General features: G+C 42.2%; 1 protein-coding gene across 9 annotated transcripts in view; it reads left to right on the top strand.

Moving 5' to 3' along the window:
• The window catches only part of SFMBT2 (Scm like with four mbt domains 2), a 252867-nt gene that overhangs the window by 98863 nt on the left and 136985 nt on the right, over positions 1–17019 (top strand). The window lies entirely within an intron of this gene.

Genomic DNA, 17019 nt, shown 5'->3' with positions numbered 1-17019 from the left:
TTATTGCTGGATGTTTATGTGACTATGTGCAGTTCAAACCCCTGTGAGTGGGTGAAACATGAGGCTGTCTCCGGCCGGTTGTCCAGGATGTGGGTTCTAAGGCAAAATTTCTGGATTCTCGTCATTCTCTTTTCCTCTATTTTATTCTGTATTTTACTTCTGGCCTCAGCATTCCTGTTCCCCCAAATCTGTGCTGCTCCCTTGTGCTTTACTTCTGTCTTGTGAAGATGTGGATAATGGTCTGCTGGACTCATCACGTGCTCGTGCTGTTCACCCGTTGGTAGTTTGGCTGCGTTGGGTGGTGGCCTCGGCTCCCTCGGACCTCTAGAGCCCTGTTGATGCCGTTACTACTCCTACAAGCCTATGGCTTATGCCTTAGGGTGGTGCAATTTTTTTTTTAAATTATACTTTACGTTCTAGGGTACATGTGCACAATGTGCAGGTTTGTTACATATGTATACATGTGCCATGCTGGTGTGCTGCACCCATTAACTCATCATTAACATTAGGTATTTCTCCTAATGCTATCCCTCCTCCCTCCCCCCACTCCACGACAGGCCCCTGTGTGTGATGTTCCCCATCCTGTGTCCAAGCGTTCTCATTGTTCAATTCCCACCTATGAGTGAGAACATGCGGTGTTTGGTTTTCTGTATTTTTTGTAAGTGCTTCGTAAAAACATTCTGGGCCAGGGAAATGAAGAGATTTTTAGTTTGCGACTTGTAGAGTGAAAAGAAAGAATTTGAATGAGTTACAAATGACCTTTTCAGGAATTGTTGCCCGGGCCTTTCTTCAACTGCCCACTAACTCCGGCACTTCAATAAACCCCCTTTTTTAGAGGCATTTAGAAGGGCTGTGACAAGTGTATTTACAGCAGATAAATTTAGCTCATGTATTTTATCTACATAATCTGATTGTAATTTATATATCTTCAGCCTAGATAAAGGAAATCTATTTCTTATTACCAAATTTTTCTTTTTGTCAACATGACGTGAGTAGGATATTGACTTTAACTGAAGGGTGGTGATTAATCATAGCAGCTTGCAGGGAGATCATTTATTGCTCTGTGTAGCTGAGCGACTGCTGGCAGAGTTGTAAGTCAATCAAGATAAACCCAAGTGGGTTAGTCACTCTTGGATGACGATGGAGGATGTGATAGATTTATTAGCCAAGTTCTCCTTTAAAAATCACTTTACATTCTTAGCAGGTGAATTTGCAGATAGAAAAATACCGAGTCGCCGTCAATGGAAGAATCTGTTAGTTTGCAAAGTAGAGTATAGCTGTTGAAATGTCACAATGAAAGATGGACTACCTAGAGATAGCCATTGGAAATGTTTAGCTCTAGATTAATCTTGTTAAGTTCAAAGAGGGCAATTATGTTCTTAGTAATTCAGGTGCTCGATAGACTGGGAAGAAGAGATTTGTTCTGTGTACAATTACATGGATTGTATAATGGGACATCTTAAGATTTAGAATGAAACAGTTTGTTTTTTTTTTAGGGGAAACTTTGTAATTGTAACCCTGGCTGACAGTTTAGTTTGTTTTGTTTTATTTTGTTTTTGTTTTGTTTTTTTTTTTTTTTTTTGAGATGGAGTTTCTCTTGTTGCCTAGGCTAGAGTGCAATAGCACGATCTTGGCTCACTGCAACCTCTGCCTCCCGGGTTCAAGCGATTCTCCTGCCTCAGCCTCCTGAGTAGCTGGGATTACAGGCGTCCGCCACCATGCCCAGTTAATTTTTTGTATTTTTAGTAGAGATGGGGTTTCACCAGGTTGGCCAGGCTGGTCTCGAACTCCTGACCTCAGGCGATCCGCCCACCTTGGCCTCCCAGAGTGCTGGGATTACAAGCATGAGCCACCGCGTCTAGCCCTGGCTGACATTTTTTGCACACGAAGCCTTTTTTTCAAACCTGCCTGTTTCCTCTATGGAGCTAGCATGTAGTCAGAAAATGCACAGCAACTTCATATGAGCCTTAGCAAAAGAAAATTCTGAAGAAGATCCATTTAGGAAGAGGAAAAATCAGACAGACTTTGCCAAAAGTAAATGTCAGTGATTCCTGAGTTACCCACCCCTTTCATCAATTTCATCACTGTTTTTCCTCATTAGAACAGATAGAGAATGGACTACTGTATTAAAATGTTTAGATGTACCCTTTATCACTGTCTGTTTCTTTCATTGCTTGAGGAGGTAGGACAGAAACAAAGTTCACCTTTCAGCTCAGGAAGGTAAGTGCCTTGGGCACGGGGTGCACTAACCGTGGCATGAGATCCCAGCAGTTGGAATCGGCATCTTGGGACATGGAGTTCTCAGCGCCTGGCATTCATGCCCGGTTTTGCACCTTGTTCTGGTTTGGGCATTTCCCCTCTGGCGTGGGACAGCATGATGTGTCCTTGTCGGAGAGGTCTTTCTGTGTACCGAATCAACATGTGACATTTGGCTAGACAGCATCAAGTTAATATAGATGTTTGAAACTGTTCACCAGGTGCTCTCTCTAAACCAGTGGTTCCCAACTAAGGAGGATTTTGTTCCCCAGGTTATATTTGGCAATATCTGGAGACAAGTTTTGTTGCCACAACTGGAGGCAGTATTATTGGCATTAGTGTGTAGGACCCGGGGTACTGCTAAACATCTGCAGAATACAGCGCTGTCCCCTACAACACAGAGTGATGTGGTCCAGAGTGTCAATAGTGCTGATACTATTAAAAAACCCTGGTCTAGACTGGAGCCATCTCTGGGCTTACTAAGGGCATATTTAGGTCTTTTGGTCTTTACTGGTTTTTCTGGCTGAATTGTCTTTGGTTTTTCATTGTTACAGACACCCACCTCCTCCTCCTCCTTTCTTGAAAGGATTATTATGGATGTAAGAGGCTATGCGTAGGACATTTACTGAATTACTATTTTAACATGAGAGTAAGGCGAGCATATATGTTCCCTTATAAAAATGTAGTAGGGTAAGTAACAAGGGCAGGTTCAGGGTGCCTCAGTAGCTGCTGCGACAGGTCAGCACATCTCAGGGCCTGATGCTGTGATGTTTAATTTTGTTGATCCTGTCACAGTCCAATGTGAGGGACAGACAGCTTTTCCTATACACCCCCGTTCCATGTGCCAGCTATCTTCTATCCTGGGGCCCTGCCATCTTTGTCAGGCCTCGTCCTCCTCTGCATTCAGCTGGAGATAGGAAAGAAAGAGCTTGGAGAAAGCACAGCTTCACTTTTCACGGGTGAGAATCAGCCCTGTGGCTTTAACTGAGAGGCAGCAGACCTGGACAATGTGTACCTGGCTGATGAGACCATCAATCTCTGACATGGATTATGTGAACAGATATTGGTCAGTCCACAAATGTTTACACAGCCGCTTCATAACAGTGACAAAGACCGACGTCTTGCTCCAGCATTCAGGCAGGAGAAGGTCCCCCTTCCTTGCAGGAATAAGGTTAGCCCTTTGTTCTATGCAGTTCTTCAACTGATTAGATGAGGTCTATCCACATGACGGAGGGCTGTCCACTTTACTCAGTCTACAATTTCAAATGTTAGCCTCTTTCGGAAACACCCTCGCGGATGCACCCAGAATAATGTTTGGCCAAATATCTGGGCACCTCGTGGTCCAGTCAAGTTGACACATAAAATTAACTGTCATGACCATTGAACTTGAGGATCCTTTCACATGTTTTCTAGCCATTTGGATATCCATTTCTGGGAAGTGCGTAAGTGTCTTTGCTCATTTTTCTTCTTTCTACTGGTCTGTAGTTCTTTATTGATCCGGCATTAGTTATGTGTTGCAGAATCAGTTGATTGTTTACTGTGCAGGCTTCTGTAGTGTGAGAGAGTTCATGTGTAACTGGTAAGTACAGCATTCATGTCTGCATAATGTAAAAGTGGGCCCACTTTCCCGGTAGCTTCCCCAGCACGTTAATGTTTTACATCAAGTAATAGCCGCTGATCACCAGCTACCTTAGCACAGCTGAAATGAGAGAGCTGCAGGGGAGCCAGGACTATCACATTGCCATTCACCTTACATTCTTTCTGTTGGTGACCTTGGGTCATGTGCTTTTTCTTGGAAGTTTTATGTCCCCATCTCCAGCATCCTTGGACATTTGTCCTTGGCCCCATTAATGTAGCATTTTCAACCCTTCCTTATATTTCTCTCCATCAAGTGACCTCCACCTTTCAATTTTTTTTTTAAGGAAAAGGTCTAAATTTATTGTAGTATTTATTAGGTATGTAACATGCCTTTTAATAGGTGCTAAATTTTTGTTGTTGTTTGTTTGTTTTTTGAGATGGGGTCTCTCTCTCCATCGCTCTGGAGAGTGCAGTGGTGCAATTATAGCTCATTGCAGCCTCTACTTCCTGGGCTGAAAATGATCCTATGGCATCAGCCTCTCAAGAAGCTGGGACTAGAGGCGTGTACCACCAGGCCTGGCTAATTTAAAAAAAATGTTTTTATAGAGATGGAGTCTTGCTCTGTTGCCTGGGCTGGTCTCAAACTCCTGGACTGAAGGAGTCCTTCTGCTTCAGCCTCCTGAGTCTCAGGCACTATAGGCACGAGCTGCTGCACCTGGCTTACATGCTAATGTTATGGTGAGGATGTTAGGATTATTACTATTTTTGTAAGTTATGTGGCTTTGAGAATTCTTCCCTAAACCTTAGTTTTAATAAGCTGTCTTATTTTCAGCACTCATATTTGCAAAATGGGACACTTTTCAGGAACAGATATGTGATATTATAGCAGAAATTCTTGCTTTTAATAGTTTGTGGCTTGTAGTTTTCTTTTTAATGACTTCTTAGTGGATGGAAATTCTTAATTTTACTAAGCTGATTTTATTGATCTTTTATGCTTTCTGTGTCTCCAGTAAGAAATCTTTTCCTCTTCCACATGGATAGCAAAAATGTATTCTATATTCTTGTTCTCCAACAGCTTTGTAGTTTTGCCTTTCCCATGTAAGTCCTTAGTTCAACTGGAATTGATTTTCAGGCAGTGCATATAGCAGAAGACTAATTTCTTTTTTCTCCATACGGATAAACCAGTTGTCCTAGAACTATTTATCAGAGAGTCTGTTCTCCCCCTACTGATGTATGGAGCCAGTTCTAACCATTAATTGGATTTGTCTATTTGTTTGACTTCTCTATTTCATTTCACTAGTTTGTCTAGTCTCTTTATCTATACTGTATCTTTAAAGTTGTTTATGTATGACTGCTTTTGTCATCTGTATGGCAGGGTCCCTAGTTTGTTGGTGTTCTTGAAGAGTGTTTTGGCTCTCCTTGGGACACTTTACTTCCATATAATTTTTAGAATTGGGTTATCTAGTTCTACAAAAGAAATCTGTTGGGATTTGGATTGGAATAGGGTCGACTAAATCGTTTTAAGGAAAATGTACATCTTTATAATACTGAGTTCTCTAATCCATGAACATGGTATGTATTTCCTTTGTTTACATCTTCTTTTATGTATTTTTATAAAACATTGTAGTTTTCTGTGTAATAGTTTTCTACCTTTTAGAAGATTTATTCTTATATATTCTATGTGTTTTGAAGCTTATGTAAATGGTATCTTTTAAAATTTATATTTTTCTAAGTGCTGTTTGCATGAATATTTTTGTATCAATAGTGAGACTTAAAGGACATTTTGCCCTAAGGTATGCCATATTTTCTACCCCATGGTTATCAGGGATGCTTTGGCATGAGGATGGTGGCTTGGTAATTTTAGCTGTTTCCTCTCTCCCCATATGCAATGTAAATGACATGCATTTTTAACTTCAGCCAGTATAGTAACACACTTATTGATAATCTAGAAGTTGCTAGCATTGCACAGAGCATCCTGGAGTAGGGACAATGTTTTCTCTTTTCCTCTTTGTCATTTGTCATATCATTTTCTCTTTCCTTCCTCTTTTTTTTCCCCCCTTTTCTTGGCTTCATCTTCTGTATCATTTTTTTTTTAGTTGCTATTTGTGGCATATATTATATTTGTAGATGATTATTATTAATTCTTTTAAAGCATCCTTGATTTGATGAATTATAGATATTATCTGATCCATTGTATCCTACTCTTAGAATACCTGCTTCTTCTGGAAACTCTACAGCGGGGGTTAGCGAACTTTTTCTGTAAAAGGCCACAGAGTAAATATTTTGGGCTTTGTGGGCCATCTGGTTCCTGTTGCCGCTACTCAGTTCACTGTTGTGGCACGAGAGCAGCCGTGAGCAATACATAAATGAATGACGTGGCTGTGCTCCAATAAACTTTATTTACGGACACAAAAATTTGAATTTCATATAATTTTCATATGTCATGAAATATTGACTTTTCCAACCATTTAAAAATGTGAAAAACACTCTTGGCTTCTGAGCCTTGCAAACACAGGCAAGTGCCGGGGGTGGGTGGAGTTTGGCCTGAAAGCCACGCACAGTTCACTGAAGCCTGCCGGAGAGCACTCTGTGTGTGCCTCTAACTGAAGACTGACTCCACACACTTGTCATTGACTGGGGCATGGTTAATGGCTTCTTTTTGACCCCTATGAACATAAATTGAATCTTTGCAACATTAAGGTACAGGTATGGCTTAATGAAAGGCTGCCTTTCTAAGTCAGTTGGAAAACGAGTCCATTTTAAGTTGATCTGAAATACTTAGAGTTTAGTAAATAAATGAGCTATATCAAATATGTGTAACACTGAAGGCTAATTTCTTTCAGACTCTGCTTTGAATCGTGTTCCAGTAATTGGGGCAACCCATAGAGATGGTTTTGTTTTACTTCCCCACACTGTTCCTGCTGTGTTCTGAATGAGGAAAGAGGGATTTGGAAAGGTTAAGTGATTTCACTGGAGTCACAAAACGTGCAGAAATTGGAACATAACCAGTTCAGTCCAGTGCCATTTCTACTTTTGTCGCCTTGCCTCTCCTGCATTCTTCTAGAAAATTTGAGTCTCCCGAAAGGGTAGACCTTTGCTAAGTCAATGGTGCAGTATTGATAAGGCTGCCCCAGACTGCCAGTTAGGTATCTGGTTTTCCCGTTGATTTCACTCTGTCTGGATGATCTTCCTTCCTGGCTAGACAGGGATCAATTTTCCTGTTTCCTTGCATCATGCCTACCATAATGGTGCAATTTATTTTCTTGTTCAATGCTTGCTGAATACTACGCAAGTCAGAGACAGCTTGCTAGGGGGCTGGAGGTGGGCCCAATAAAATATCATCCCTGTTTCTCACAGGAGTTTATAATATAGTGGAGGACCCACAGGTACTTAATTAATGACAGGATACAGGAACTCGGGGAGGGAGACACTGCTGAGTTATTGTTCATGTATGGAAAAAGCTTCTGTAAAAGAACCTAAATATCATTTATAGAATCTAGCACACTGGCTTCAATGCTGATAGCCTGTCATTTAATCATCATGCCAAGTACTTTGCACGTGGAAAGAAGACGATTGCAGGTGATGTCGCCTCCCTAATTGTAGGTTGATCCTTGAAGGTTTATTTTTGAGATTCAGTAATTACCCGAGTAAGCAGCATGGGTAGAATTTTTTTGCAATGCCTTTTTTCACAGTTTTGCTAAAAGAACTTCCACTTTAATACTTTACTAATGAACACAGGCGCTCTTTCTGTAGAAGGAGAGGGACTCTGAGCTAGGAGCTGATGCTCCTGTTGTCACTCCTGAAAAGAAAAGGGAGGAAGATAACTCTGTTGGTCCTCCTGCCATGCTGTTTCTGGAGCCTGTCCTCCCAGGGGTGCAACTGTCCTGTTTCTTCTCACGTAATTAGGAGGTGACTGACATGGAGAGCTGTCTCCTTTAGGCACAGGGTGGGACCTGTCTTATTCCAAATGTAGATTTAGTAGTACTTTGGTACCCGGTGGTGTTTGTCCCTCTTCTCTGTCCAGACAAGAGATTTCCTTCTCCTTTCCTGAATTTGTTTTTGACATGAATCTTTGGAGTTAGAATTTCTCTCTCTGATGGACGGCATCGATAGGATATTTAGGCATAGTTAAATCGTATTCAGTATATTTCATATCTGTAAAGTCTAAGGGCCTGGACAGCCATTCCTCACTGAGCTATTGCTGTTACTCAAATGAGTTTGGGAGTTCTGACACTGATTTGTTAAAGGTCCCTTGGAACATAACCCGTTTGTTAAGTTAGGGACTCCTTGTAACCATATTGAGAAAACCAAGCCCCTTAGTACGTGTATTAGTCCATTTTCACTCTGCTATGAAGAAAGACCCAAGACTGGGTAATTTGTATATAAAAAAAGAGGTTTAATGGACTCACAGTTCCACATGGCTGGGGAGGCCTCACAATCATGGCGGAAGTCAAAGGGGAACAAAGGTATGTCTTGTATGGTGACGGGCAAGAGAGTGTGTGCAGGGGAACTCCCCTTTATGAAACCATCAGATCTGGTGAGACTTACTCCCTGTCACAAGAACAGCATGGGAAAGACCCACCCCACGATTCAGTTACCTCCCAGTGGGTCCCTCCCAAGACACAAGTGAATTGTGGGAGCTACAGTTCAAGATGAGATTTGGGTGGGGACATAGCCAAACCATGTCAGTGAGTGATTTGCTTGGGTTCATTCTGTTTCTCTGCTCCCTGTGCTGAAGACCCATCTCCGTGGCCCACCTCGCCCATGCAGAGAGCACTTCATTTATCGTGGGCTCCTGCCTTTCGGCCAGCACCTTCTGTCGGGTGTCGCAGGATCCTTAGTAACATGCAGGAAGGGAAATGAGAGGAAAGAACAATGAAATAATCTTTGATCTTCTCCACTCCATGTAACCTAACTTTTTATGTGGTCAAGCAAGATAAGCTCCTATCTGGCATAAATATGTGTGACTACATTTATATCCCTGCTTACAAAATCATTCTAAAATGGTAATGAAATATTGCTTCTCCCTTTCTCTTCCGGCAGAAAATATTCTAAAGAAATAAGAATTTTGATGAGGAGTGGTTATTGAAAGGGGCATTTCGGACTGGTTTTAAATCTCAGTAATTTATTTTATTGGGGTTATTGAAATACTGGATATACTGACAGAAATCATCAAGAGCTTATGGTTATTGGATAAGTGAACTCTAGGTTGTGGTTATATTTAGTGTCTAAATAAGGCCCTATTTTATTACACCACCCTTTCTTTCTCTTTTTCTGTCTCTCTGTCTCTCTCTCTCTCTCTTTTTAGTCTCGGATTACCCCATCTTTCCGTGGTGGAAAGAATAATGGTTGCAAAGTGAGTAGGAAATTTATTTCTCTGTACTCATCTGGCATGAATTGTTTGCTCTACATAAATTGATGAATTACTGCTTCTAAGGCTGACATAATAGTTTTTGTTTTGTTAAACAACTATAAATTTCATCTAATACAGTCTTAGTGTTAACAGGAAGAAAACCATAAGTTAATATCTGCTACATTTCATTGCTTAAAAATAATTGCTAGTAGTAAAGCTTCATTTTTCACAAACATAATTTGATCTCAGGTAATTGATAGAAGAAGAATTCAGGGAATTTGTTCAGGGTCTGTTTACAACTGACTTTTTCAAGAACTGCCACATGCAATAATCCAAATGCATTCTGGTTATGAAATAAAGCAGGCAGAACTTACAGTCAGCCTCAGAATGACTTATTGACAGCTACAGGTGCAGCATTTTTTTTTTTTTAACATTGTAACCCTTTTGCAAAGTTTTTATTGAAATGTTTTATGATATAGTGTTTTTGATTTGTCTATTTGAAGAATCATAGAAGACAAAACCTTAGGAACTTTACTTATTCTAAATTTCCTGTTCTGTTATTGATAAGAAAGAAAAAGAGAGAGAGAGTGAGGGAGTCAGTTATTCAAATACACCTCCTTTCATTCCTACTGGTGCTTACAAACCAAATGCAGCTTGTATTTTAGGCGCGGGGACTCCTCAGCTCCACCTAAACTGAGGAGGGAAAGGTATGTCATAATTTTTGTTCTTTCTCAACAGTTTTCCTTTAATAACAACCTGATTTATGATGTTGAATCATGATCCTCGCACTTTGGAATGCTCCTTGTAATCAATCACTTTTACTAGACCTTCTTTCTCATAAAAACAAGAATCAAGCCAGTTAATTGCCCAGGCATGCATCTCTGCTTACAGAATAGTCATGGAAACCCTGGCTTGTCATGTTTAGGAACTTCCCCTGGGTTATGCCAAGGGTCAAGGGTTGATGTCACAGCCACGTTTGGAGCTGTGAGCTCCCACTCTGCTCCTCAGCATGTGGAGTGACATTTATTCTCTTTGTGGCTAACTAGTTAATGTGAATCCCCACAGCATTGCTATTGAAGCAAATACCATGACTGGGGTAATAGTAACATTTTGAAGATGAATTCAGACTATAAGAACTGAGTTTGTTGCTGAAATATTTCAACTACATGAGAGAAGAGGGAGGGTGCCTTGTCTTATTAGCAAACAAGTAACTATCTGGTTGTAGGTTGTACAGGGACTTTGGCAAAAAAGGAGGGAAGCTGAGGACACAGGCACGAAGATTTAGGTTGGAATTAAGAGGGCATTTTCCGCAAGTGGAGAAAGGAAAGCGAGTTATCAAGGTAGGTCATGGAATTACCTTGCCAGAGGATTTGTGTTGTTTTCTGGTAGTTTTCTGTTGTTATCTGGTTGGAATTGTGGACCTATGACTGGGACCATATTGAGGCTTATGACGGTCTCTGTGCTTCCCCCAGTCCACACCTCCCCTGTCCCTTGGGGTCAGTGGAGGTTCTAGTCTGCATAACTATGCTGGATTAGCTCCTGAGGTCTCCCAGCCCAAAACGGTTTTTTAAAAAATTCTACACCAGTGGTTTTTTTTCCCCTTCGATAGTCTAGAGCCACGCAGTTCTCCTCCCTTTTCTTTCAGCAGCACCAGGAAAGGCTGGAATGGGGACTCCTAGCATCTGTAGAGAGGCGTGGCTCTCATACTAGGTGACTTCTGGGGAGCCCATGTCAAGAAATACCAGTTTCTGCGTTTCAGAATAGTAAATGGCCCAACTTGGAGCTGCAGCTCCTCCCTCTCATTGCAGTCTCTGGTTTGTCCTGTGGAGGCAGCGGAGATGCCCCTGGCTGGTGTTCCGCGAATTTGCCGGCCCCGGGGACCTGCCCCCACTGTCTCAGTGGAAAGTGTGCCACTAACTGCCGATGGCTGAGTGTGCAGATACAGCCCAGGCCCCTTCAGGCCTGTGGGCCTCCGTGCCTGGACTTTGTTCTAGTCCCTCCCGGGTTTCCTCCGCTGTCTCATGAGTTCGGGCTTTCTTCATTCCTCACTTGATGATTGGAAGAGCTGCTTGACCCATCAGCGTTTCTGTGGCATCTCTCCTTTCAAAACGATCCCTGTAGAGGGACTGGCAACTAGTCCATAGTGTCTTGCTAGTTACTAGTGTCTCACGCTGATTTGCACATGACATAAAGACGCTAATAACTGCCTCATGCTGATTTGCACATGACGTTCTTTATGCTGACTATTCCCTTCCCCGAGACTTTCAGTGAAGGAACTTCTGTTCGTTGCAGGCATGGTTCTCAACTGCCTCCATCGGGAAGCATCCTGGCCCTGGTGCCAGGGCTTCCACGGTATCTGGGGTTTACTCCTTCCTTCACTGAGTTACCTGCTTACATTCCTGTTTTCCATATGAAACTCCTTGAACATAAGGACTGTGTCTTAATGATCTTTATTTTCTCTCCAATATCTGGACTTTTGTACGACACAAAGGAAAACAGTCAGCCTGTGTGTTTTCAGTAGAAGCAATTTATCATCTTTCTAACTGTATAATGCTAAATTCCAAACAGTCTAAGCAGCTCTCTTGGAGTTTGCAGCTAATGACAGAAATAGTACAGAAAGTCATTTAACCTTTAATCCAGTGCTCTAACTCACTAAATATAAAACATTCTTAAAAATACATTTGTGCATTTGCCAATTGTTTATTAGATTTCTGCTCAGTGCCAGAGACGATGCTGGGCCTGGAGGAGAAAGTTTGAACAAGAGTAATGCTTTTCCATCCTCACAGAATGCAGTGGGCTGTCAGAAGCGGTAGGGAACAGCTGGGCAGATACTGTGATGTGTGACATACACCACATGGGAGGGAAATTCCCGGGCTGGGTGGGCAGGGGTTGAGGAGGATGTTCTAAAGTATGTGTGAAGGGGGCAGTGTGAACTGCAGGCACACTGAATGAGAAGCCTGAGGGTTGACCAGGAATGTTGTCAAAAGACTACCTTGGAAGTTGGAGTGAACGACTCAGCCCCATGAAATGAGAGTGGGAGTCTGTCATCCATCTGTGGCAGATACTCCCTAGGATATTTGTTACTCAGTGTGAGTGTAGCCTGCTTAGTCTCTTTTAATTTTTATTTGTTCTTTATTTCTTAAAAAAAAAAAAAGCTGGATACATGTGCAGAACGTGCAGGTTTGTTACATAGGTTATGTGTGCCATGGTGGTTTGCTGTACCTGTTGACCTGTCCTCTTAAGTTTCCTCCGTTCCCCCTCCACTCCCCATCCCCCAGCAGGCCCTGGTGTGTGATGTTCTCCTCTCTGTGTCCATGTGTTCTCAATCTTCAACTCCCACTTACGAGTGAGAACATGTGATGTTTGGTTTTCTGTTTCTGTGTTAGTTTTCTGAGGATGATGACTTCCAGCTTCATCCATGTCCCTGCAAAGGATATGATCTTATTCCTTTTCATGGCTGCATAGTATTCATTCCTTTTTATGGCTGCATGGTGTATATGTGCCACATTTTCCTTATTGAGTCTACCATTGATGGGTATTTGGGTTGGCTCCATGTCTTCGCTATAGTAAATACTGCTGCAATAAACATATGTGTGCATGTGTCTTTAAAGTAGAATGATTTATATTCCTTAGTAGAATGATTTATATTCCTTTGGGTATATAAATCATTCTACTATAAAGACACATGCACACATATGTTTAATATATAAATAAATGGGATTGCTGGGTCAAATGATATTTCTGGTTCTAGATCTTTGAGGAATCGCCATACTGTCTTCCACAATGGTTGAACTAATTTACACTCCCACCAACAGCGTAAAAGCGTTCCTGTTTCTCCACAGCCTCGCCAGCATCTATTGTTTCCTGACTTTTTAATAATCACCATTCTGACTGGCATGAGATGGTATCTCATTATGGTTTTGATTTGCATTTCTCTGATGATCAGCGATGTTGAGCTTTTTTAAATATCTTTGTTGGCCACGTAAATGTCTGCTTTTGAGAAGTGTCTGTTCATATCCTTTGCCAACTTTTTGATGGGGTTGTTTTTTTCTTGTAAATATGTTTACGTTCCTTATAAATTCTGGATATTAGCCCTTTGTCAGACGGGTAGATTGCAAAAATTTTCTCCCATTTTGTAGGTTGCCTCTTTACTCTTATGATAGTTTATTTTGCTGTGCAGAAGCTCTTTAGTTTAATTAGAACCTATTTGTCAATTTTGGCTTTCGTTGCAATTGCTTTTGGCTTTTTTGTCATGAAGTCCTTGCCCATACCTGTGTCTTGAATAGTATTGCCTAGGTTTTCTTCCGGGGTTTTTATGGTTTTAGAATAAGTGTCATGTGGCACTGAGAAGAATGTATATTCTGTTGATTTGGGCTAATTTTTGTATTTTGTAGTAGAGATGGGGTTTCGCCATGTTGGCCAGGCTGCTTTCGAATTCTTGAACTCAGGTAATCCACCCGCCTTGGCCTCCCAAAGTGCTGGGGTTACAGATGTGAGCCACCATGACCAGCCCAAAGCTACATTTTAATGTAATAATATTTTCTATGCAGTAGTTGTTCGTAATCCTTTCAGGGTCATGGTGCTCTTTGAGAATTTGATGAATCCAATGAAGCTTCTTGGAAGAGGTCTTAGACCCACACACACAGACACACATATACACACACACACACGAACACACACATATGCACACACACATATACACATACATACATACACACATACATACGCACATATGCACACACATATGCAAGTACACGTATACACATGCACATACGCACATACATACACACATATACATACACATGCATGCACATAGACGCACATACAGACATATGCATACACACTCACACATATTTCACAGCCTTGTATTTCATTGTATGGGCTCATAATCCCTGGGGCGTCCATCCCAGACCTGTTGATGAGTTAAGAACCTTTGGTTTAGAGGAGGCAATAACTGGTCAGACTGAGACTTCAGGAATAGGCCTGTCCGGAGCTAGGGAACTGGCCTGGCTGTTGGGCTTTTGGGTAAGTGACATTCCAGCAGTTCACATGTGGTGACCCAGGATGGAGAGTCTGAGCATCAGTTGGACTAGATCACGTGCACAGGGTGGAGGTCTCAGTCTGTCTAGGGGGTGCTCAGTACAGTGAGTGGACGTCATGGTCAGGGTTTGGAGCGAGACTCGAAGGAGAAGCTGCAAGTACAGAGTGTGTTGACCATTCTTCTGCTCCCTGGACATACCCTGCAGAGGCTGGCTGTTAGGGGAATCCCAAGAGACAGGATCTCTCCAGTTGCTTGGAATTCCAATTATTTTCTGATCCAAAAATCTAGCACTCATTGGTGAAGGACAAGCTGCGAGGGCCTCTGGGTGCTGGGCGAGCAGCCAACAGCAGCACGACCACCTCCAGGCCTCACCTGCGAGCCCCAGTGATGGTGGATTCTGCCTTTGGGCAAAAGTGAGAGCCCCCTGAGTGGAGAATGTGCATCAGCCCGTGGTGCTCCCACTGTGGAGGTGGTGGGGGTGCTGATAACAGGGAGGGCGTGGGAGGCAGACACGGATTGCAGATACTATCCTCAGGTATACAGGTGTCGAGGCCACATTTTCACCCAGGTCACACTCTTGCGTGTGCTGAATGTGTGTGTCGTCGTGAAGTGAAAATTTATAGCGAATTTATAATTTAACACTGAATTCAGTTTTCTCTTCCTATTTGAAGCAATTACATGACTTTGATAACTGTTTAGCTTTTGTTTCAAAATTTTAAAATGTAGCATTAAGGAAAATCTCTCCAACTAGTTTTTTAAATTGCCTTGTTTCTCTGCAGTAGCTCATCAGAGTGGTTGGGGTCATTTTACCCCCACCCGTGATGGCCTCCTCATCCTCCTCCTGCTTCTCCTCCCCCTCCCATTCGCCCTTTCCCTCCTTTTCTCTCTCCCTCTTTTCCTTTATTTAGCTCTGAGCCCCTGCCCAGCCCTGTGCTGAGAACCTTCTTGTGCATGGTTATTTCACTTAGTGTTCAGGAGGCCCTACCAGGTGGTCCAGCTAGTAGGCTTGTTTTACAAGTGAGGAAACACACCTGGAGAGGTTAGGCAGCCTTTCTGATGTCACACAGCCAATGTGGTTGTAGCTGGGACTCCAACCCAGGTAGTGCCATCTGGAGCCTGCCATTTCCTGTGTTTTGCAGCTTTCTCAGTGAGTGCAAGGCCAGCTCAGTCTTCCTTCTGTGCACTCTCAAAGGCATGGCCTGCAAGAGCTGTCTGATGACTGATTCATTGCTGTTTTCCCTTTTCTAGGAGTGTTTTTATTCTTTTTGCCTGCTGAACCTTTAGAAAAGTAACGGTAGGGCAATGTGTTAGGATTCTCCAAAGAAGTAGAACCAATAGAATGTGTGTATATATAGATACTCTCATGACTGTGGAGGTGTGGTGAGTCTGAGCTCTGACTGGGCAGGCCAGCAGGCAGGGGACTCAGGGAAGAGTTGCAGTTCCAGTCCAAGGCCGTCTGCTTTAGACCCAGGAAGAGCCGCTGCTGTGATGGAACCTGCAGGCCGCCTGCTGGAGGATTCCCTCTTGCTCAGGGGAGGTCAGTCTTTTGTTGTAGCCAGGCCTTCAACTGATTGGGTGAGGCCCACCCACGTCAGGGAGGACGGCCTGCTTTACTCAAAGCCCAGCAATTAAAATGTTAATCTCACCCAAAATCACCCTCCCAGAAAAATCCGGAGTCGCATTCAACCACATATCTGGGCACTGTGGCCCAGGCAAGGTGACATAAAATTAACCATCACAGACAGCAACCTAAATACTGTTGAACAAGAGGCCAACTCATTTTGTCAGATACCTAAGGGCATGTTAATGTAAACTTTCTGCAAGTTTGTCTCTTTCTCATAGACCTAACGGGAATATTGGGAAAAATTTGAATGGAAGTTCTTTTGCTTCAGGAAAGAAAGTAACTTTACAGGAAGAAGCAAGTCAAGTATGAAAAATAGAGTGAGACCTAGGAGAATAAAATCTTTAACAAGCAAGTGTCTTATTCCATTGAACTTAGAGCCCTGGACCTGTGTGATATGTCAATTCAGTCTTGACAGTTTTTCTGCAGAGGGAGCTAATAAAAAGAACTGTAAGAATTAGTTTTTTTTCTTTTTAGTGGAGAATGGAAGAAAAGTGGCTGACTCTTTGGAAGGTAATTCTTTAAAAGCAGGAAAATGTTTAAAGCAGGAGCAGTAACATCTGTGAAAGTGAGCTATTGGCAGCTAGAGAAGGACTGGAGAAAATGGGCAAGAATGAGAGATTCCATATTTTATTGGGTAAAATTCTTTAGCCAGTGAACAGTGACAAGGTGTTAAATTTCATCTGATAGTTTTAGAGGTTATTTATCTTGTAGACTTTTAAAGATACCTTGCAGAGTGGTGTGAGTTGTGTGCTTTGAGAAAGTCGTAAATGGTTTCCATCTCTGTGGCATTTCTTTAGCAAATCCTGGTTGTTTCTAGTGCTAAGATCTTCTTGGGAACTTCAGAGAAAGCGTTAGGTCTTTTGGGATTAAAGTCCTGTTGTGTAGTACCTGAATTTTCTTTCATCTCTGAGTGTTTCCCTTGTCTGAAATGAACAGTATTGGTGTTACCTAAGGGGCTAATCATACAGCAGAGAACTCCAGAAAAATATTAACTGAGTGTCTTTACCACACAAGATACTAAGTGCCAAAACACTTAAATGGACTGATACCTGGCTTTCTAGGTTACACATGCTGAAACGAACACTGAAAGTGATAATTCACTTATGTAAGCAGTTACAAACTATGCAAATACAAAAAAATAAAAAATAAAAAGAAATGGCAGTACAT

The sequence above is a fragment of the Homo sapiens genome, chromosome 10 (assembly GCF_000001405.40).
Source record: "Homo sapiens chromosome 10, GRCh38.p14 Primary Assembly".
Taxonomy (NCBI): Eukaryota; Metazoa; Chordata; class Mammalia; order Primates; family Hominidae; genus Homo; species Homo sapiens.
Note: the sequence above shows the minus strand (reverse complement) of the source record. Positions and strands in the feature narration are given on the sequence as shown.